Source organism: Homo sapiens, chromosome 16, assembly GCF_000001405.40.
Source record: "Homo sapiens chromosome 16, GRCh38.p14 Primary Assembly".
NCBI classification, from domain to species: Eukaryota; Metazoa; Chordata; class Mammalia; order Primates; family Hominidae; genus Homo; species Homo sapiens.
In genome coordinates, this window is record NC_000016.10 from 31,546,020 (window position 1) to 31,569,848 (window position 23,829).

The window sequence follows — 23,829 nt, forward strand, 5'->3', positions numbered from 1 at the left end:
GAGTAAGACTCTGTCTCAAAAACAAAACAAGGCTGAGCGTGGTGGCTCACGTCTGTAATCCCAGCACTTTGGGAGGCCGAGGCTGTCGGATCGCAAGGTCAGGAGTTCGAGACTAGCCTGACCAACATGGTGAAACCCCGTCTCTACTAAAAATACAAAAATTAGCTGGGCATGGTGGTGTGCCCCTGTAATCCCAGGTGCTTGGAAGGGTGAGGCCAGAGAATCGCTTGAAACTGGGAGGGTAGAGGTTGCAGTGAGCCAAGATCGCGCCACTGCACTCCACCCTGGGTGACAGGGTGGACTCTATCTCAAAAAAAGAGAAAACACAACAGAAAACAAAATGTCCCACAAATAGCCGGGCACGGTGGCTCACGCCTGTAATCCCAGCACTTTGGGAGGCTGAGGTGGGCGGATCATGAGGTCAGGAGATCGAGACCATCCTGGCTAACATGGTGAAACCCCGTCTCTACTAAAAATACAAAAAAATTAGCTGGGCGTGGTGGCGGGCGCCTGTAGTCCCAGCTACTCGGGAGGCTGAGGCAGGAGAATGGCGTGAACCCGGGAGGCGGAGCTTGCAGTGAGCCGAGATGCGCCACTGCACTCCAGACTGGGCCAGAGCGAGACTCTGTCTCAAAAAAAAAAAAAAAAAAAAAGAAAATGTCTAAGTTGGAAACAACGGTAAGTGGACAATAGTGGATTTTATTTGCAAAAGTGAAACAGAGTTTATGTTTCCACGCAGGGTTCTCTCACTTTGAATGTAATTATCAGACACTGAAAAATGACAAATGGCCTCCAGGGATTTTTCAATAGGCATGATCTTCTTATCTCAGATCATAGTTGGATTCCTGGGGAATTTCTTTCTTCTTTACCACTATAGTTTCCTTTGTTTCACCAGAGGTATGTTATGGTCCACAGATCTGATTCTCAAGCACCTGACCATAGCCAACTCCTAGGTTATACTCTAAAGGAATCCCACAAACAATGGCTGCTTTTGGGTCGAAAGATTCCCTCAGTGATATTGGATGCAAACTTGTGTTTTATGTTCACAGAGTGGGCAGGGCTGTGTGCGTTGGCAATGCCTGCCTCCTGAGTGTCTTCCAGGTCATCACCATCAGCCCCAGCGAATTCAGGTGGGCACAGCTTAAACTACATGCTCCCAGATACATCAGGTCCTTCAACATCCTGGTCCTGTGCTGGATTCTGAACACGCTGGTAAATATTACTGTTCCTCTACATGTGACTGGCAAGTGGAACAGCATAAATAGCACAAAGACAAATGATTATAAGTATTGTTCTGGAAGAGGTAGGAGCAGAATTCTACAGTCATTACATATTGTCTTGTTATCATCCCTTGATGTTTTGTGTTTGGGGCTCATGGCCTTGGCCAGTGGCTCCATGGTTTTTATCCTGCACAGGCTCAAGCAGCAGGTCCAGCACATTCATGGGACCAACCTCTCCCCCAGATCCTCCCCTGAGTCCAGAGTCACCCAAAGCATCCTGGTCCTGGTGAGCACCTTGTGTTATTTTACTCGCTCTCCTCCATCTTTACACGTCTTTTTCCTAATCCCAGTTGGTGGCTGTTGAACACCTTGGCACTGATCACTGCCTGTTTTCCCACGGTCAGCCCCTTTGTGCTCATGAGCAGCCATCCCAGAATAGCCAGGCTGGGCTCTGCTTGCTGTGGAAGGAATCCACAGTTGCCTAAGCTGATCAGATAGTTCTCCGATTTATGTGGATTGTCTTCTTTCTGTACAATGAATGGCCATTTGTTGATTTCTTCCTGCAGAAGGTTAAGCACCACAATTGGCAGTCAATTGCAAAGTGTGTGTAAGACTCAGAATCTGTCTTTGCCCTTCAAGGATTTTTCATGTATCATAAACGACAGTTACAGATGAAATGTTTTGCAAAGGGCATTCATAATTTTCATTTTGTTAATGTTGCAATGGAGAAGTTTAGAGGCAAATTATTCATTAAATGTGGGCCTCTAATAATTTGTAACAGTGCAATTTTAACCAATTAGTAAAAAATGTCATGGAATTAACTGGGCACAGCAGTGTAAGAAAAGTTTAATGAAGTAAAGAAGCTTTAAGTGATGATCAATGAAGAAAGTGAGAAGAAAGTCATAGTTCACGCCATTTTTTGTTTTGAATTAATCTTCATTTTTTTCCCATTTTCAAGTTGTAGAATTTTCTTTTTGTCCTTGATGATTATACTTTATTTTAATGAGACTAGTTTTTGATTATTTAAAAATAATTCTGTCCTTCTATAAATTTTCTGATGTGTAGATCCTATGTTCATGCTTCTTATACGAAGATTTTCTCTCTTTTGGTTTTGAAGGAGCATTCTCTGCTCCTTCACCTGAACTTTCAGCCTTTTAATCCAGACTAATTGTATCAAAATTGGTATTTATCCCACATATTCTGTTGTTTATATGTTTTTTTGTAACTTACGCTTAATATTTTGAGTTTCAAATTTTTGCTATTTATATGATTCTACTGTTGTTTCTTCTATTTTTGAATAAAATCTAGATGCATACTTTTCTAAAAGGTAAGAAGGAAAAATAGCAGTTCTACCACCAGGCCTGGGATGGAGTTGGAGGGAAAATAATGTATCAGATCCTTCAGGATGTTAAAGATCAGGTTTTGTCATTTTACCTTAAATTCATTTTTTCTTTAATGAATGCAACCTTTTTTTTTTAAAATTGCAAGTCTAGTCGAATAGACCAAATGTTCCTACTTCTAAAATAAGCTACAAGTAATCTTTTTCTATGAAAATGCTGTGAGTTGGTGCCACAGCTAAACTTTCTCTAATAGCAGCAGTATCATCAGCCCATGGCAGCAAAGAAATGCTAATTTCTGGCATCCCAGGGGCTGCTATCGAAGCAACTTCATAAAGCATGCAGATATCTATTCTGCTGAAGTTTCAAACAAATAAAAATGATCATTGTGCTTGTGGGTTTCGTACCTTTCAATATACACATAAATGATGGCAAATTAACAAATAATAGCAGGTCCTTGATTTCCAATAAAATCACAAGGCAGAGGGTTGGCAGTGAAAAGAAAAATGTTTAGAATGGAAAAAAGTTACAAAATGGTGTTGGCATTCACAAAAAAGATCATGCGGAGATCAGATCCATATTGACTAAACATTGAAAATTCAGCTACAATCCAAAGAACCCTGTCCGAGTCCAAAGGCATGCATGCCAGCTGATGGAAATGCGGGACATTATCTGACAGTATCTTCTCCAGAGCAGAACAGTAACATCTCACTGGAATAATCACAAAAGGGTGAATGAGCTTCCATCATACCTCTTTTTTGTAATTCAAAATAAAAGAAACACAAGCATAGCGTCAGAGGCGTTCAAACCAGAGTGACTCCATTTTGAGTGAGGGCTAGGAAAATGAGGCTGGCCTCTACATGTTCATGGTTAAGGGAACCAATAATGTTTACTAAACAGATCCAGACTTGGGAGTGTCTGGATATGCTGATATTTGGAGAACAAAGGCATTCCTAATTTTGCTTTAAAGATAATAATATTGATTCTTGCAAAATATAGTAATTAAGAAAATTAATCCTTTATCACAAGTCCTTGTAGCAGAGCACATCTCCCCAAGATCTTTTTTTATCCTGTATATATACAAACATTGTACCTGGGGCTGACACCTTCCTCCTCTTACTCTCAGAAACGCCCTGCTTGGTCTAAGGAGTAGCTGTCGTTTTACCATAATAAACCTCCTTAATAAACTTGCTTTCTTAATAAACTTGCTTTTGCTTTACACTGTGGACTCACCCTGAATTCTTTCTTGTGTGATATCCAAGAAACCTCTCTTGGGGTCTGGATCGGGACCCCTTTCCCGTAACAACAGGACAAAATAAATTACAGAAGATTGGACAGAGAAAATACAGAAATTCACAATAACGGCTGGGTGCGGTGGCTCACGCCTGTAATCTCAGCACTTTGGGAGGCTGAGGCAGGCAGATCACTTGAGGTCAGGAGTTTGAGACCAGCCTGGCCAACATGGCGAAAACCCGTCTCTACTAAAATACAAAAATTAGTCAGGTGATGTGGTGGGCATCTGTAATCCCAGCTACTCGGAAGGCTGAGACAGAAGAATCGCTTGAACCTGGGAAGTGGAGGTTGCAGTGAGTCAAGATCATACCACTGCACTCCAGCCTGGGCAACAGAGCAAGACTCCGTCTCAAAAAAAAAAAAAAAAAAAGAAAATTCAGATTGTTTCCTTTCTTTGCTTCTGGTTTTACAGAGACTCCTTTCTGAACCACCAGGGAGGTATAAAAATTGTCTTGACCCAGGGCCTATAGCCAGTAGTCAGTCCTCATCAATGGAGTCACACATTCTGCTACTTCTGGTTTGAGAACATTCCATGTTATGCATTCAGATGACTCTGCAGACTCACTGTCAGTAGTTATTGTTTGCAGATTTCTTCTCATTTGAGCTGAGGCTTCACTCAAAAATTCACACACTGAAAACTGGCCCTCTGGTCGCCTTGTCTGGGCCTCCCCCTTTGCCGCAGCCCCTCTCTGCCTGGCTCTGCGCTCCTGCCCCCCAGGCCTGCAGCTGCGCTCCCCACCCAGGCTTGCATGGCGGGTGGCATTTTACCTTAAATTCTAAAAAGAAAGTTAGTTCTGTGAAATCTGTGAATTTTTTGTGGGAGGAGAGTGGTCCATTTCAAATATTTTAAGGTAAAAATGGACGCAGTGGTCTGGGTGGAGCGAAATGAGCACAGGACTGTGGAAAGAGATTTTCATTAGAATTCGACTCACAGCCGATGAATATGAGACTCATCAAGAAAACTGCCTAATTTTCGGGACACTGTGAGGGTAGACTATGCTGTATTAGCAATAATCCCAATTAGCCTGTTCAGAAGAAATAAGCATCAGGGTGACCTCTGGGAAGTGAATCTGGTGGAACCAGTCACCGTCGGTGGAGGAGCCGACGCCAGGGACCCTGGGGAGGCTTATGCTTCCCTTTTTCTAGGGAGTTGGTGGTAATTGCTGCCTTGAAATATTCAAGGGAGCCAATTTGAAACAATCATAATACAAATGGGCTAACCATGTGGTTGAAGTGAAAAATTTCCACAGATATTTTCTTATTATTGTTAGGTAAAGCAGGTAAAATGTCTTGAAAATTCAAATATTTGAAAAATACAATGCAGAAGTTTGGTCCAATGGACATATATGGAACCTGGGCTATGTGTTGCATTACTCAGCAATATAGAACGATTGAAATAATGCAATCACAGAGGGAGGCTTAAAGAATGTAAAATATTTTAATCATAGAGATTAACCTTGCCACTATTAAATAATAATATTTTGAAATAGTTTATGAAGCAATTTAAAATACTAAACCTAAAAACTAAGCAATATTCCTAATTAATATTTAGAACTTTTCAGATGAAAAGACAATAAAAATTCTTCATATTCAAGTTGTGCACTGTATTTGTTCAAAAGTAGAGAAAATTAGATGGCTGCAAATTCAAATGCTACAATAGAAGATGCCTGACAATATGTGTTTTTGATGTCAAACTCTGAAATTAAATTAAAAAAAGAAGCTTCACCTTGGTCAGGAGAGGTGGCTCATGCCTGTAATACCAGCACTTTTAGAGGCTGAGGTGGGCGGATTACCTAAGGTCAGGAGTTTGAGACCAGCCTGGCCAACAGCGTGAAACATCTCTACTAAAAATACAAAAATTAGCCAGGCATGGTGGTATGTGCCTGTAATCCCAGCCACTTGGGAGGCTGAGACAGGAGAATCGCTTGAATCTGGGAAGCGGAGGTTGCAGTGAGCCCAGATCGCACCACTGCTCTCCAGCCTGGCTGACAGAGCAAGACACTGTCTCAAAAAAATAAAAGCTTAGCCTAAATAATGTGTTATCATAAAGTATAATGTAAGTAAAAAATTTAGAATAAGTATTACATGGGATATAATAAAATAAAATTAATGATAAAATAGAGCTTACTGCAATGTTAATAAAAATGTGAAAAGATATATTTAATATTAAAAAATAAACAGTATTTAAAACTTCATGGAGATTTTTAAAAAGTCTACATTCTAAGACAAACAACTTTACACTAATAAATTAGAAAACTTAGAGGAAAAAGTGATTTCTGTTAAATAATAAGATACCTAATACATACATTATGTCAAAACTTTAAGCAAGTGTAAGTCATGGATTTGCATGTATAATTAATATACAGGTACAGAAAATGATTGAGAAGGGTTCATTTCAAAAATACAGGACACGCCAATGAGAGAATCAGCTCATATCATGACATGAAAAATTAAATGAGATAACAGCGTTCATTGAGTAAATCACTTCATGCCTTTGTAATTTTTATAAGTAAATTAACTTAGAAAAATATTTTACCAGAGAATGTTTTAATTATTGGTGATAAGAACACATGAGGATATAAGAATACAACATAAATGGCCAATGAGCACGTGAAAAGTTATTCATTAGGGAAATTCAAATCAAAACCACAATGAAGTGTTAGTTCACACCCACTAGGATGGCCATACTCAAGAAGACAGAGAAACAGAACTAATAGAATGAATATCTACATCTACATCTATATATCAAGGTTTACATATTTTTTCACCCACGTGCGCATGGGTGTGAGTGTGTGTGTGTATGGAATAAAGCTATTTACAGTAGTGTCTCAGCAGAAGGCCTTCCCCAGCCCCCTCCAGGCTCTGGATTAGAGAACCTTTTTTTTTTTTTGAGATGGATTTTCTTTCTTGTTGCCCAGGCTGGAGTGCAATGGCGTGGTCTCGGCTCACTGCAACTTCCGCTTCCCGAGTTCAAGCAATTCTCCTGCTTCAGCCTCCCAAGTAGCTGGGATTACAGGCACCTGCCACCATGCCCGGCTAATTTTTTTTGTATTTTTAGTAGAGACGGGGTTTCACCACATTAGCCAGGCTGGTCTTGAACTCCCAACCTCAGATGACCCGCCAGCCTCGGCCTCCCAAAGTGCTGGGATTACAGGCGTGAGCCACTGCGCCCAGCTTAGAGAACCCTTTGCTCCTGCACTCACTCCAGTCCAGCACTGGTCCTTGTTCACAGTGTGGTGCACCTGCCTTTCACCTAGGGAAATGGAATACATTACCTCATCAACACCTCTTTGTCAATCTCTTGTCTCTGCTCTGCAGACTTTTGAGCCATGATCTGAAGAGTGAACGTGATGGGTCACTGGGTTTCTGACAACCCAACACCAGGTTCTGCTCAGGACAGGCCAGACCCACATGATATCACCCCCACTGTGCGAACACACATAGGGAGGTGGGGTGTGACTGTCCAGGTGGGATTAGGGTGGTGGCCAGACATTGATTGGCCTGCTCTTGGCTGCCAGTGTTACCTTTGAGTACTTCCTGAACATGGCCAAAGGTGATGGTGTTGAGGGCTGACCCGATGTCAGCAGCTTCAGAAAAACCTATCATTCAGGATTTTCTGGTGCCAGAACTATAGGAAATTGGGATCAGCAGGATAACACTAGATAACATCTAGTTCTCTTTAGTATCTTCAGCCAAGTGAGCTGGGGAGAGACTGTTTCTAGAATGTGGGTGCTTGGTTTCCAGTGTTCCAAGTTCTGTTGGGGTCTATTGTCAAGGAAGTGAGGTCACTCTTTGGGGTCCCTTACCTGGGGCTACTCCTGAAGGGATCTTCTATTGCCCTCAGCACTCCTGGTTCTCAAACCTTCAAGCAACACCGCTGGGTGTCCCGCATTTCTGACTTGAAGGCAGCAGATAATGGGAATTCTCAGCCTCTATAGTTACATGAGCCAATTTCTTAAAATGAATAAACATTTATTGAGTATTAATATCTATACTTCAATAAATTGCATGTATGTATTTAAAGTAAGTTAAAATAATTTATTAATTCAATGATTTGAGTTATTTAAATTTAAACAATTTAAATTGGTTTTGTTTCTCTGGAACACCCTGTCCGAGAGGTCATGTCATAATCACCTGAATAATCTGCAGGTGCAGGAATCACTTTGATCAACGATACTCAACCATGATGGATTGTTTAGCAGAAGACAGACTGACACATTTGACTCTGCAAAGTCTGGGAAACTCTCTTCTTTATCATATGTCTCCCTTTTCCTCACTGGGTGCAAGTTAAGGTGCACAGATTTGATTCTCATGCACCTGATTATACCCAACTCTTTGGTCATTCCCTCTAAAAAAATCTGGAAGACCATGACATCTTTGGTTTGAACAACTTCAAGGATTTTTCACGTGAACTTCTATTCTTCCTTCAGAGACTGGGCAGGGGTGTTCCTCCTGGCAGCACTTGCCTCCTGAGTGTCTTCCAGGCCATCACTATTTCCCCAGGGACTCCAGTAGGGCAGAGCTTAGAATAATATTTCCCAAGCTCATTGGACACTTGATTCTCTGGTGCTGGATCCTAAACACACTAACAAATAATTTTCTTCTTTATGTGTCTGGCTATAACTCAATGCAGCCATCACAAGGAAAACAGATAATGGCTACTGTTATGCTGTGATGCATGTCAAAATCCCCCACTCCCTGTGTGCAGTGCTGTTCTGATTCCTTGATGTTTTGGATTTGGGAATCACGGCTTGGGCCAGAGGCTCCATGATTTTCATCCTGCACCGGCACAAGCTGAAGGTCCAACACATTCATAGGACCCACTGGCTGTTCAGGTCTTCCCCTGAGTCCAGAGTCACCTAAGCCATCCTGGTCCTGGGGAGCATCTATGTATGCTTTTATATTGTCTTTTCCTTTTGTCAATTTTTGGCTCTTTTTAATCCTCTTGGGCAGTGGCTGGTGAACATTTCTGCCCTGAGTGCTCTGTGTTCCCCAACTCTCAGACTTTTTGTTTCCATCAGCTGTGACTCTGTTGTCTCCAGGTTCTGATTTGCCTGACACAGAATACAAAATCCACTAATTTTATCATATATATGTATGTTGTGTATTTTTGCACAATGTTCAGTTGTTTACTCATCCCCAAAGAATTATAAGCACAGTTGTGAAACTGACGTTACAAGGGATTGGTGATACATACAGAAAAACACCTACATATGTCTAACTGTGTGGGGATAATCAGACTATGTTTGTTATTCATCAAGCAATAATATTGGAAAATTATTCTTTAAGAAATGTAAAAATAATATTAGTTATAACAATGTTAAACTACTTTAACCGTATTGTCTTTTTTATCTGAGGTATCACCATCCTCACTGATTAATTGGTTAAAATCATATATAATGTATCTTTACTTTTTCTACTTTAATTTTAATTGTTTAAAATAACATATATCTTCTAATTTTTCTACTCCTTCAAGAGATGTAACTAAAACATAAATATATAAAAAAATTATGTTTATGTTTAGTTGTATCTCTTGAAGGAATATCCAATTGAATATAGTCAAATAACATTTGACTTTGACAGGAATAATTTAGCTATTTATGTTTAATATTTTAAAGGCTATATTTGGCATTGGATATACCAACTTTCTGTATTCTTCTGAATACCCATCATCTTTTCTGATTCTTCCAATTTTAACGTCTTCTATGTTATATATAGATTTTTAAAAATCACAGTTAACATCTGTTATTTAGGAGTTATATACAAGCATATCTTAGTTTTTAACACAGAGGTTACAGCAGACTTTGAAATATTAATCATGGTATAAAGTTATTTAATACTTTCAACCTCCACTTTGACAACATTAAGGCATTAAATTACTAATCAAGCCAGGTGAGGTGGCTCACGCTTGTAATCCCAGCACTTTGGGAGGCCGAGGCAGGAGGATTGCTTGAGCTAGGGAGTTTGAGACCAGCCTGGGCAACATAGTGAGCCCTAGTTTCTACAAAAAATTAAAAACTTAGCCAGGCATGGTGCCACATGCCTGAAGTCCCAGCTACTCAGGAGGCTGAGGTAGGAGGATCACTTGAGCCCAGGAGGCCAAGGCTCTGTGTTTGCTCTGTGTGTTTTCACTCTGTCGCCTAGGCTGGAGTCAAGTCACACCACTTGACTCCAGCCTAGGCGACAGAGTGAAACCCTGTCTCAAAACAACAACAACAAAAATCACTAATCCATTTATGTTCTCTCTTTGTGTTTTAATTGATATGTATTTTTTAAAAAAGTTGGAATACTTGCACAGGCCATAAGTGCACAACTAAATGAAATTTTAACAAACTGAACCCAACTCTGTATGCATGTCTTAGGTTGCAAAACAGAACATCGTCAGACCCCAGCCACCTCCTTGTGCCCTTCCCAGTCACTACCTCTAGGAGTAACCATGACTCTGACTCCTAACAGTATAGCTCACCTGTACTTTCACCTGTTTTGTAGCTTATATATGAAATCATATAGCGTAACTTATTTTGTATGTAGATTTTGAATTCCACATGTTTGGAAACTTATCTGTATGTTATTGTGGTTCATTCATTAGGTAGGTGATAGAATTATTAGGTTGGTTGAGGTTTTTGCCCTCTAAAGTAATGGCATCATCTGAACATCAAGCAATGAACTTAATCATGCCACTGTAAATGCATATGAGTAGTATTCATGATGGGGCTATTAGGAACACTAGTTGTTTTTTTGTCTTCCATGTCGGAAATAGCAAAATAGTTCATAGAGATGGACACTGAGCTTTTATTCGAGCAGGAACATGACAGTTCACCAGAGAAGCATAGATAACTTCAGATCCTGGGGAAGGGAAGGTGGGCAAGCAGCTTGGGTGGTGGCATTCATCTGAGAAAAGTGAGTGAATCCCTAGTATGTGAAAGGGACAGAGAGTCTCAGTAACTCACGTTTTCAACGGGGATATGTGGAACTCAGGACATGGAAGAGCATCTTGCTTCTCCCAAGCCCTGGAGCGAATTTGGGGAGAGGCTGGGAGACTCTGAGAGGGAAAGGCACTGGGAAAAGCTGCAGACATTTTCCCAGACCCAGGACCAAGAGGAGGATGCCATTTTCAATTCTGGCTCATGTCAAGGCAGTCATTGTTTGGTGGCTGGGCAGCAGCAGCTGCCACAGGTATTTAGGTCTCTGGTGAGAAAGATTAAAGCACTTGTTCTGGAGGAGGAGAAGGACCCCCATAGGCAGAATTGAGCAGCAAGTGTGGTGTGTACTTCCGCTATAGGCACCGGAATCGGTCTTTCTTTCATTACAGGACTGGAAAGGGAGGAGATTTGCTGAAGCCATGGTTGCTCTCAGGTGGTGATATTTATGGCCAGAGGTGGCTTTGCAACCTGGGACCAGTCTACGTATGGCATTTCTGGGCGCCCCAGCCTGCCCCCTTTGTCAGTCAGGGGAGTGAGCCCAACTGGTTCTGAGGATGGGGAGGGAGACAGATCCCACTCCTGCTCACCTGGATCGGGAGCATGGGCCACCACTTCCTTCCTGTGCGAAGAGCTTGGTGCAGAGGCATCTCCTCTGCTCTTGGCCGAGGCATGTCTGCAGGCATCTGGTGCACCCTCTCACCTGGATTTTGAGTTCTGGGCTGCCTGTCCGTTCCCATGCAGAGAACATGATGCAGCAGCACTCTCTCTGCTCATACACGGACTTGTCTCTTGGCTTCCGGCATACTCACTCTCCCAGATTAGGAGCTTGAGCCACCTCTCCTTTCCTTGAAAAGGTCTTGTTGCAGTGTTGGTTTCTCTGCTCCTTGCCCAGGCATATTTCCAGGCATTTGGTGCACCCTCTTGCCTAGGTTAGGAGCCTGAGCTGCCCCTCCCTTCCTGGGCAGGGATGTTTTTTCTTTCCTTTCTTTTCTTTTTCTTTCTTTTCTTTTGTTTCTTTTCTTTTCTTTCTTTCCCTTCCCTTCCCTTTCTTTCTTCTGTTCTTTTCTTTTTTTTTGTGAGACAGAGTCTCACTCTTTCACCCAGGCTGGAGTGCAGTGGCACGATCTCGGCTCACTGCAACCTCCGCCTCCCGGATTCAAGCGATTCTCCTGCCTCAGCCTCCTGAGTAGTTGGGATTACAGGCACACGCCACCATACCCAGCTAATTTTTCTATTTTTATTCTTTGGGATTTTGAACTCATAGCAACCGTAACACTACTAGTTACACTGATTTCTACGTCAGCTTTGAGCTTGCTTAAAGTCAGGGGCTCCTGCCAAACTTAGGGCTGGGACCTTTCCTGAAAGTTACTATATTTCCTGAAATATAGCTTTATATTTCAATTTTGAGATGGGTCAATTTGGACTCTATAAATGATCTCAGAATGCCACTTGGTAAATAGAAATAACATAATCAAGAAGGAAATTGGACTGGAACAGAAACAGCTCTAAAGGAAAAACTGGGATTCATCTTTGGTGGGAATTTTTTGCCCCCCTCCATTGTCCAAAGCAATGCTGCTGGCTCTATGGGACCCTCCCCCACAACACACAATTCACTGAGTATTTACTAAATGCCTAGTCCTAGTTTTCTAATGGGTCGGGGAAAAATGACACTTCATGGTTCCACTGGGCTGCTGTGGGTGTTTAACCTCAGTGCCAGCCATGTGGAACTTGAAGCAGGAGTGGTCACTCCACTCAGTGGTCAGAACTCAAGAGTTTTGTGTCATTGACTACTTTCTAGCTTTTGGTCTTCCGTATTGAAAACTACAGACTATTTGAATGAGGACATCATCTTTGGGGCTGCAAACTGAAAACAATCACTTGAATTCAGGAGGCAGCGGTTGCAGTGAGCAGAGATAGCGCCATTACACTCCAGCCTGGGTGACAGCATAAGACTCCATCTCAAAAAAAAAAAAAAAAAAAAAAAGAAAAAGAGAAAAAAAAGACAGAATCCAAATGCTGGTGAGGATGTGGAGAAAAGGGAATCCTTGTACACTGTTGGTGGAAATGTAAATTAGTACAGCCACTATGGAGAACAGTTTGGAGGATCCTCAAAAAACTAAAAATAGAGCTACTTTATGATCCAGCAACCCTACTCCTAGGAATATACCCCAAAGAAAGGAAATCAGTATATTGATTAAAAACTCTCCATAAACTAGGTATCAAAGGAACATGCCTCAAAACAATAAGAGCCATCCATGAAAAACCCACAGCCAACATCATAGTCAATGGGCAAATGCTGGAAGCATTCCCCTGGAAAACAAGCACGAAACAAGGATGTCCACTTTCACCACTCCTATTCAACATAGTATTGAAAGTCCTAGACAGAGCAATCAGGCAAGAGAAGGAAACAAAGGGCATTCAAATAGGAAGAGAAGAAGTCAAACTATCCCTGTTTGCAGATGACATAATTCTATACCTAGATAACCCCATGGTCTCGCCCAAAAGCTCCTTCAGCTGATAGATAACTTCAGCAAAGTTTCAGAATACAAAATCAACATATAAAAATCACTAGCATTTCTGTACACCAACAGCAGACAAGCTGAAAGCCAAATCAGGAAGGCAATCCCATTCACAATCACCACAAAAAGAATAGAATACTTAGGAATACAGCTCACCAGGAAGGTGAAAGACCCCTACAATGAGAATTACGAAACACTGCTCAAATAAATCAGTGATGACACAAACAAATGGAAAAACATTCCATGCTCATGGATAGGAAGAATCAATATCATTAAAATGGCTAGACTGCCCAAAAGCAATGTACAGATTCAATGCTATTCCTACCAAACTACCAATGAAATTCTTCACAGAACTAGAAAAACTATTTAAAAATTCATATGGAACCAAAAGAGTGCCTGAATAGCCAAGGTAATCCTAAGCAAAAAGAACAAAGCTGGAGGCATCATGCTACCTGACTTCAAACTATACTACAGGGCTACAGTAACCAAAACAGCATGGAACTGGTAAAAAAAAAAACAGGCACATAGTCCAATGGAACATAATAGAGAGGCCAGAAATAAGGCCATACAGCAACAACCATCTGATCTTTGACAAAGCTGACAAAAACAAGCAATGGGGAAAAGAATCCCTATTCAATAAATTGTGCTGGGATAACTGGCTAGCCATATGCAGAAGATTGAAGCTGGACCCCTTTCTTATACCATATACAAAAATCAATTCACAATAGACTAAAGACTTAAATGTAAAACCAAAAACTATAAAATATCCTGGAAGACATCCTAGACGATACCATCCTAGACATAAGAATGGGCAAATCTTTCATGACAGACACCAAAAGCAATCGCAATAAAAGCACAAATTGACAAATGGTATCTAATTAAACTTAAGAGTTTCTGCACAGCAAAAGAAACTATCAACAGAGTAAACAGACAACTACAGAATGAGAGAAAGTTTTTGCAAACTATGCATCTGACAAAGGTCTCCTATCCACAAGGAACTTAAATTTACAAGAGAAAAACAAACAACCTCATTAAAAAGTGAGCAAAGGACATGAACACACACTTTTCAAAATAAGACATAAATGTGGCCAACAAGTATCTGAAAAAAGCTCAATATTACTGATCACTAGAGAAATGCAAATCAAAACCAGAATGAGATTAACACCTCACACCAGTCCGAATGGCTATTATTAAGTCAAAACAGGCCGGGCGCGGTGGCTCATGCCTGTAAACCCAGCACTTTGGGAGGCCGAGGCGGGCGGATCACTAGGTCAGGAGATCGAGACCATCCTGGCTAACACGGTGAAACTCCGTCTCTACTGAAAATACAAAAAATTAGCCGGGCGTGGTGGTAGGTGCCTGTAGTCCCAGCTACTCTGGAGGCTGAGGCAGGAGAATGGCGTGAACCTGGGAGGCGGAGCTTGCAGTGAGCCTAGATCGTGCCACTGCACTCCAGCATGGGTGACAGAGTGAGACTCCGTCTCAAAAAAACAAACAAAAAATTCAAAACATAACAGATGCTTGTGAGGTTGTGAAGAAAAGGGGACACTTACACACTGTTGTTGGGAGTGTAAGTTAGTTCAGCGATTGTGGAAAGTAGTATGGTGATTCCTCAAAGACTGAAAAACAGAAATACCATTAGACCCAGTAATCCCATTACTGGATATATACCCAGAGGAATATAAATCATTCTACCATAAAGATACATGCATGTGAATGTTCATTGCACACTATTCACAATAGCAAAGACATGAAATCAACCTAATTGCCAATCAGTGACAGAGTGGATAAAGAAAATGTGGTACATATACACCATGGAATGCTATGCAGCCATAAGAAACAAGATCATGTCTTTCACAGAAACATGGATGGAGCTGGCACTGCTACACTGTTGGTGAGAGTGTAAATTAGTTCAACGATTGTGGAAAGTAGTATGGTGATTCCTCAAAGACTGAAAAACAGAAATACCATTAGACCTAGTAATCCCATTACTGGATATATCCTAGAGGAATATAAATCATTCTGCCATACATACATGTGAATGTTCATTGCAGCACTATTCACAATAGCAAAGACATGGAATCAACCTAAATGAGTGACAGACTGGATAAAGAAAATGTGGTACATATACACCATGGAATGCGACGCAGCCACAAGAAACAACAAGATCATGTCTTTCACAGAAACATGGATAGAGCTGGCAGCTATTATCCTTAGCAAACTAATACAGGAACAGAAAACCAAATACCATGTGTTCTTACTTATAAGTGAAAGCTAAATGATGAGAACACACAGACACAAAAAAGGGAACAAGAGACACTGGGGCCTACTTGAGGGTGGAGATTGGGAGGAGGGAGAGGAGCAGAAAAAGTAACTATTCGGTACTAGGCTTAATACCTGGGTGATGAAAAAATCTGTACAACAAACCCCTGTGACATGAGTCTACCTAAGTAAAAAACCTTCAACCTATGTAGCAAACCTTCACATGTACCCCTGAACCTAAAGTAAAAGTTAAGAAAGAGAAAAACAGAAAATTAAATAGAGGGACTATACCAAATGTGATGAGAATGTAGGGGAAATGGAACCCTCGTACAGTCTTCATGGGAATGTGTAATGATGCCACCCCTTTCCAAAACAGTTTAGTGGTTGTTCCCTTTTTTGAACATTAAACTCCGAAGTATTTACTTAAGAGATATTGTAATATATGTCTATTCAGCAACTTGTATATGAATATTCATGCCAGTTTTATTTGTAATAGACAAAAACTAGAAACAATTCACATGGTCTCCAACTAGCGAATAAATAAACAAGCTCTAGAATACAATTTTGCATCGAAAGGCGATGAACTGTTGATACCTGCTACAGTGGGACTTGATTTTATGCTGTGTGATTCTATTTATATAGAATTGTGGAAAGTGAAAATCAATCTATTGTTACTGGAAGCGGTGGTTGCTTAGAGAGCGCTTAGGGTTGGAAGGAGTGCAAAGGAAGAATTGCAATGGGGGGTAATCATGATAAAATGTTTGGGGGGAATCGATATACTCATTGTCTTGACTGTGTTGATGATTCCCCAGGTATACACATACATCAAAACAAAATAAACCTTCTAGATATGTGCAGCTTATTGAAAGTTAATTATACTTTAATAAAGCTTTTTAAAAAATAAGCTCAATTGAAGCCTATGAAATGGAAGATTAAAATTAGGCAGATAATATAATCCAGGTTGAAGAATAAATAAATATGATCAACAAGCGCTTAATACATTCTGACAGTTTTAGAACAAAGAAAATGAAACAATGGCATGATTTTATCATTTCGTCGAATTGAAAAAATACCAACATTTCTCCATAGAGAATGTTGTTGAAGGTTAGTAGATATCAGTCCTTTATTACTGACTCAGGATGGGAAAGTAAAGAGCTACAGCCTTTTTTGACTTAAAGGGGGAAGAGCTACATATATATTCATTTTGCTATACTTTGCAATATACAAACACATATGAATCATTACCCTAATATTTTCTGATTACAAAGAAATGTGTGACTGTTATAAAACATCCAAAAACATCAAATGTCTAACATGAAGTACAAAATTTGTCAGTAGTTTTAGACTCAAATGAAACATTTTCCACTTTGAGGATATTGTTCAAACTCCTTTCCCAAGACTGTCCCTGGTTTTGTCATGTATTAACACAGTGTGTCTAAAATTGCCTGAGAAGTAGCAGGTCTTTGTTCTCACTCTCATAGCTGTGTCCTCTGTTGAATAGGGTCTGGGTGCCCCCAGCTAAAGCCTCATTTGATCCACTATCAGGCTCCTTTATCTCCTCTCCAGGGTAAGGGTGGGTCCATTTTCTTCCTAGGAGGAGCTCTGAGCTTCTCCATTCAGGGCCGGATCCTAGGGACCAGGGAGTGTGGCTGGGATGAGCCAGCCCTCAGTGGGAAAGACATAGGCCATCTGGGCGGCCACGGCACAGGTTTGTACCATAGCACAGAGTCCCCCTGGAGCCAGGGTGAGCTCAGACAGCTGCTCCCAGGTCAGCAGAGAATAGGCCTACTGTTCCCACACCTGGGCTGTGTTGTGATAAATGGCTTCAGATGGAGTGTGCAGAGAGGTCACCAGGCTTTTCTGAAGTGGCAGTGGGTGGTCTCCTAGAGACTGAGATCTGGGCCGCTTGCTGTGCCCGGTGTGGGCCTCTGGGGGTCCCCCACAGCAGGCATCATGGGTCTCCTCATTTCACTGATGTGTACAGTGTCAGAGAGGCCTTTGGTTTCTTTTCCAAAGTCAAGCAGTCCTTTTGCACTTTCGGCTCATGTCCTTGATGCTGTCCTGAAGAGGAAGCATGTGAGTGAGAGACTTACCAGAACAGCTCCCATGGATGCTCATTCCCAGAATGTCCCCATGCACCTTCAGGTGAACCCCACTTGTCTTTCCTCCTCCTTCCCTGCCCCCTCTGTCTCCCTAAGCAAGGGAGGCTAAATCCCTTCTGGGACCCCAAATGCTTTCTGGATGTCAGGATCTCTAAAATCCTCTCAGCCACTGAGAAACCCCTTTCCTGCCCAAACTCAGTATAAACAACCTGCTAATCTGCCCTTTGGAACAAAAAAGGAAGATCCTACCTGCTCTATCTTGGCAGCTGTCCATGGAATGGATTTCTCTCTTCCTAGAGTTCCCCCATCTGAGCTGGACTCTGATTCTGTGGATAAAATGGGAGTTTGAGTGACTGCCTCCAACTGAACACCTTAGGCACTCTAGTCCATCCTGGACACACCAGAGCTGAGGTAGCCACCAAAACTCGGTTCTTCTCTGTTCTCCAGAGTCCAAGAATTATAAGAACCTGGATGCCAAAGAGCTCCCAGTTCCCTTCCCAGAGGAGACTGTGTTTACCCATCCACTATCTCTTCTCACCTTGAAAGAATCACATCTTACATAGTTTAGCAGTGCTGCTTCTGACTTTGAGCTTAGTTTCCTTGGAATTCTCTTCCTCATTTGAATTGGGCTCTGATCTCAGTGCAAAAGAAAGTTTAGGTGACTCATCTCTTCCTAGGCATAGAGTCCCAAAGTCTATACCTAACCGATATTTGTGGGTCATTCTCTCAATCAAGGCTGTTCAGCCAGTGTCAAGTGTGAATGGGAAGCACAGAGTTCCGGGGGATCATCACCATATTTCTGAAATCCCTGTGATGACTGTAAGTCATTTCCCGTTTCTAATCTCAAAATGAAACCCCACCAAAGACACAGATCAGTATCCCTAATTCTACCCCTCCTACCAGACTCCATAGGAACAGCCCAAAGGCCTTACCTTGCCTTGCATGTGGCTCTTACTGGAATGAGAAGACAGTGTCTTATCTTTTCTTCTGATGGTCTTTCCTCCTTATCCAAGCCCCTTTCTGTAAAGGAGACCTGTTGGAAAGAAGGTGGGTCAATGGGGCATTGGATGGAGGGGCAGTGGGAGTCTGGTCTTCAGTTCCCCATCCCATGGTGAAGCTTCAGTGAAAGGTGATCTCTCTCTCTCTCTCTCACACATGCCCAGAATCAGGTGCAGGTTGTTCTTGTGAACCTGTTTTTCTAAGCCCTTAAGCTGGACATGGCTCACTCCTACTGGCTGAAGAGATTTCTCCCTCCTGCCACTCATCATGGCCTCAATAAGAAATTTTTCCATCATGAACACCTTGGGGACCTAGACACAGATAAGGTCTAGATGCAGAGCCCCGTCACCATGTTAAGAAGCAGGAATTCAAAGCTGGGGGCACAGGAAGAGGAATGCAAGAAACTTATCCCTATCTGATTTGTGCCCCAATTCCCACCTAGAAGTATTTAAGATCCTGCCCCGAATTCAAGATGCAGAATTAGACAGACCACATATTGACATGTGTATATATATTTTGCACATGAAGAAAATTATATATAGTGTTAAAATTGTGCGCATAGATGTTATATTTCTCAAATGCTTGGATATGACAAATATCAAGTTATAGTTCATATATTAGATATATGCATATGTGGTAAGATAATAATGCAGAGAAAAAGTAAACACCAAATAAAATATCCTTTCCTAGCTTGAAAGTGGGGGAGATGATTAGGTAAAATGTGACCGCATTGGACTGATTAGATCACATGTAAAGCTAACCCAATCAACTGAATTCTTGAGGCAGCAAAAAGTCCAGCTGAAGAGCAAAACTTTCCCTTTACCTCATTCTCCCTCAGTCACCCTGGGAGCCCCACTATACTCTGTAGAGTCTGCTCGGCATCTGTGATCTAAGCTGATCCATTCAGCTGGATTATCATCATCAACCTTGCACGCTTTGGTTCTTTCTCTTTGTGTTTCTGTTTACAATAAGTTGTGGATATGACTTTGCATTATGAATTTCCAGACACCTAATGGGCCACTTGTCTGTTTCTGTCCTGAAAAACCAATACCCAAATCCAAAAATATATCCTCACAAGAACCTCTGAAAGCCACCTGTGATTGCTGCTAACTCATTGACCTCCCTGCTCCTCAACCCACAGAGAACATGCAATAACTGCCAGATTTTAGGACACATGGCCAGGATCAGGAGGTGCCCAGTGAAGTGCTGTGGTGGGACCCTGTCCCCAAACCCATGGGCTTAAATAAAAAGCAGACACTGAAACCAAGAAAGCCCCAGCAACTTCTGACTCCAGGACCCTTTACTAAGACTGACAGAAGGAACAAAGCAAAAATGAGATATCTGAAGGGTTCAAATAATCCTTGAACATTGGAATCTTTGGACATCACAATTCCAGTGTCTCCTCCTTTACTTTTTGTCCACAGCCTTCTCCTGGCATGAATAGAGAAACTTAATAAAAATACACAAAGGGCTCAGTATACTCCCAAATTCCTCAACTCAGAAGCCCATTCTATTCCTGAAGGATCATTGCAGGCAGGTGTATGGGGCTATCTTGAAACTGCATATACAGGCCAAACAGCAATAGAGTCCAAATTGAAGTACATCCTGATTATACATTAAAGAAAAACACAGAGGCTGCCTGGAGTTGGAAGTTGGATCTGAAATGAGACCAGGAGAATCCTTGGTAAAGTCTGCAAGACCTTTAATGCTTCTTTCACTCCAAAACACAAGCAAGGACCGTGTCCTTTTTCCCATCCGCCAGGTGGGGACAGGAAGTTGAGACATATACAGACACTAAACATGGTTTGTTCTGCAGCAAGAAGATTTTCAGAGAAAGATGCTTCGCATAACTTACTCAGGAAACTTGAAGCATCAGCAAAACTTAAGTGTAATGAGATAATCTTATTACTCTGAGGGTATTTCCCCCCGTTTCCTGCTCAATTGCTCTTCATTTGACTTGCTTTCCTTCTATGAACATTATCTCAAAAACCCAGGATAACCAAAAGGGTTCCTCACATATATGTACTTTTCTTTTTCCTTTGTTTTGTTTTGCTATTATTTATATGCCCACCACAAACATGCTAGTGTGGGCATTTCTACACACATTTTCAAGCAGTGTTATCAGATGCATTTCAGGAGGTAGAATCCTGCATGCAAGAACATGCATCTTTCCACTCAATACATATTTGCTAATTGTGCCTTAAAAGGTCATTGGCCCTTTATACTCTCTATAAACATGTAAAAAACCGTGTGTGTATATGTATGTATGTATGTTCACTCATGCACTCATTTATTTATTTATTTAGAAACAGGGTCTCACTCTCTGTTACCCAGGCTGGAGTGCATGATCATAGCTCATTGTAGCCTCAAACTCCTGAGCTTAAGGTATCCTTCTGCCTCAGCTTCCCAACATGCTGAGAATACAGGCATGAGCCACCATGCCTGGCTAGTATGTTTTTACTTATCATGAAAAGATTAGTAGGAAGCATTTAATTTTCCTAACTGATGGTCACACAAAACTTTTTTTTTTGTAATTTATTTTCCTGTGACCACCATTGAGGTTAGATGCATCTTTACGTGGGAAATGGCCATTTGTATTTCTTTTACCATAAAATGTTTTCATAGGTCCTGTGCCTTTTAAAATTGAGTTTGTGTTTTACTCTTCATTGTCAGAGGTTCTTAACATATTTGGATGTCACCTGTTCCATATGATGTTAGTAGGCTGATGCCTGTCCACAATCCAAGAATAGATCTGTCCTAGATCTTTGTTCTCAAAAGTCATCCAGTTGTCAAGAAACCTGAGATGTGATCCTTCCACATGGCAAAGGTTCCCATCAAGACATGAACTAGGCTGCCGATTACCTCATGGCCAGGAAAAGCATGGGGGATGGATTTATTGATTGGCCCCACGTTGCATCCAAGCACTTTGGCCAGGGCCCAATACATTGCCAAAATGACAGTCAACAGGCCTAAAGTTTACTCTCATGATGTTCTCCAGCCTGCCATCAAAATACTTTTCTTTTTCTGGCCACTTCTTCAACCTCTGACACATTAATAATATTCCCATATGATTCATATGCACATTAATAATTGTTAAGTTGGGGAATTTTATTCTTTTTTTTCCTTTGAAGGGTAAAAATTTTATTTTTGAGGAACTTCTTACTGCACATTTTCCAAGAGAGTCACATAAGAAAGCAAAAATGTTATCCTCCCCTCATCCTAGAAATAAATAAGGACATAATTTTTTTTTTAATCATGACACTTGGAGGCTTAGCGCCAGCATCCAAAATGAACAAAAACGGAAAAAAAAGCATTTATTTTATATTTCAGATTTCTTTGGTTGGGGTTCTCCCCATGCGGTATTAATATTACTTGTTTCAATATCTATTACCCAAACAGTAAAAACCAGGAAAAAAATATAAACCTAGCGCTTGCTGAAACTGGGGAGGCTGCTCTCTTGTCTTCTGTGCAGGAATTCCCAGGTTCTCAGTTTGCTGGAAAAATTTGTTGACATTTTCTTTTTGTAGTTGTTTCTTAAAGAATAACAGCAAACATTCCAATGTCCAAATCTTGGTTCGTCTTCCACTTTATTGCTTGGATGTTTCTTTGGTGTTGGTAAGGCTGTGGCCTGCTTTTTGCTTTGTTTCTGAACGGTCATTAATTCTTTAGGTCACCCTGCCGATGGTGAAGGTGCCTGGGGAGCCTGGTGTTACTCAGCACTGCTCTGCTCGGTGGATGGAGCAGGGTTCTCAGTTGGTGCTTCACCTGCCGTGGCCTCTTTGCCATCTTGTGAAGGAGCGTTAGGAGAACGTGGGCGACGCCGGTAATTGTAGGGACGCCGGTATCCACGGCGAACAGGCGGCTGGTTTGGACCACTGGAGGCTTGCTGATTTTCTTTATCTTCAGCCTCTCCAACTGCTGGGGCAGGTCGTGGGCGAGGAGGTCCCCTGCTATGGTACCTTGGGCGGTAAGTTGGATTTCGATGAAATGGTCCCTGAAGTTGTGCTCCTTCTGGGACTCCATCCTTCAGCTCTCCAATCTCAACAGCCTGTATTCTGTTGGGATGGGGTAAGACCGGTGAGCGACGGTCAAACGTCTGTCCCACGTGGTAAGGCGGGAACCGCTGCTGCCTGTACTGGGGGCGATACTGGGGGCGGCGCAGCCGATTCCGGGCCCCAGAGAACTGCCTATCAGTGGTAGGGGGGTCAAATCCTTCACTGCTGCCGCTCCCTTCTTCCTCCTCCTCCCAGCGTAATCCCGGGGAGGGCCATGGCGCCTTCCATAGTAGCCACGTCTGTAACGGCGCCAATCAGCGCGTAACGACTGCCCTCCACAGGAACTCCACCCCGGCCAGTCACACTGGCTGCTTCTGCACCCTTCTCTCCTTAAACCACATCAAACTCTACAGTTTCTCCATCTCCTACACTGCGCAGATATTTCTGTGGGTTATTCTTCTTGATGGCAGTCTGATGTATAAATAGATCTTCTTTGGTGTCATTTCGATTTATAAATCCATATCCATTTCTGACGTTGAACCATTTGACAGTGCCAAGGACTTTGGTGGCGAGAACTTTTTTCTCCGCGTCTTCGCTGTCGGCGGCGGTGGCTAAAGAGGCGGCGGCCGCGGTGCCCGTGGCTGCGGGGGCCCCGTCCCCACCCGGGTTTCCTGCGACGAGGGCGGCGGGCGCCGGGGCCGCGGCTTGGGGTGCACCGCTGCCCACCCGGCTCTTGGTCGCGGGGTCCTGGGGAGCCGCGGCGGCCGCCACCGCAGGAGCCTGCTGGAGGGTGGTGGTGATGATGGTGGCCTCGCCCGCCTCGCTCATGCCTCCTCCTCCTCTGCTCTCGCTCATGCGCCTCGGTGGCGGTTGGTCGGCGGTTAGTGCGGCTGGTGGTCGCCGCGGCCGGGGCTCGCTCTCGGGGAGGCCGGGGCTGATCTCGCGGCGCAGGCGGCGGCGGCAGAGGTGGGGTCGCGCAGCGGAGGCAGCTCGAGCTTCGGGATGCGCGCTCGCTTCTTGGGCTCCTCGCTCGATCTTACTGCCCCCTTTTTTCTCTCCCTCCCTCCCTTCCTTCCTCCCTCCCTCCCTCCCTCCCTCCCTCCCTTCCTTCCTTTCCTTTCTTTTCGTCTTTTTTTTCTTTCCTTTTCTTTCAGAGTCTCGCTCTGTCACCCAGGCTGG

The 23,829-nt window shown here is 42.5% G+C and overlaps 1 long non-coding RNA gene and 4 pseudogenes across 3 annotated transcripts; 2 read left to right on the top strand and 3 right to left on the bottom strand.

The window, feature by feature from the left end:
* Positions 1-678: 678 nt before the first annotated feature.
* LINC02190 (long intergenic non-protein coding RNA 2190) lies at positions 679-7,548 on the bottom strand. The gene is made up of 2 exons (NR_146571.1): positions 7,126-7,548; positions 679-3,268 (listed from the first exon to the last, which is right to left on the bottom strand). It is a non-coding gene; the product is annotated as a long intergenic non-protein coding RNA 2190 (long non-coding RNA).
* On the top strand, positions 786-1,718 carry VN1R64P (vomeronasal 1 receptor 64 pseudogene; annotated as a pseudogene).
* Positions 8,034-8,908, top strand: VN1R65P (vomeronasal 1 receptor 65 pseudogene; annotated as a pseudogene).
* Positions 17,203-21,696, bottom strand: FRG2KP (FSHD region gene 2 family member K, pseudogene; annotated as a pseudogene). The gene is made up of 4 exons (NR_135055.1): positions 21,355-21,696; positions 18,589-18,689; positions 17,906-17,982; positions 17,203-17,615 (listed from the first exon to the last, which is right to left on the bottom strand). The product of NR_135055.1 is annotated as an FSHD region gene 2 family member K, pseudogene (transcript).
* A 51-nt stretch (positions 21,697-21,747) lies between these two features.
* Positions 21,748-23,505, bottom strand: YBX3P1 (Y-box binding protein 3 pseudogene 1; annotated as a pseudogene). The gene has a single exon (NR_027011.1). The product of NR_027011.1 is annotated as a Y-box binding protein 3 pseudogene 1 (transcript).
* Positions 23,506-23,829: the final 324 nt, after the last annotated feature.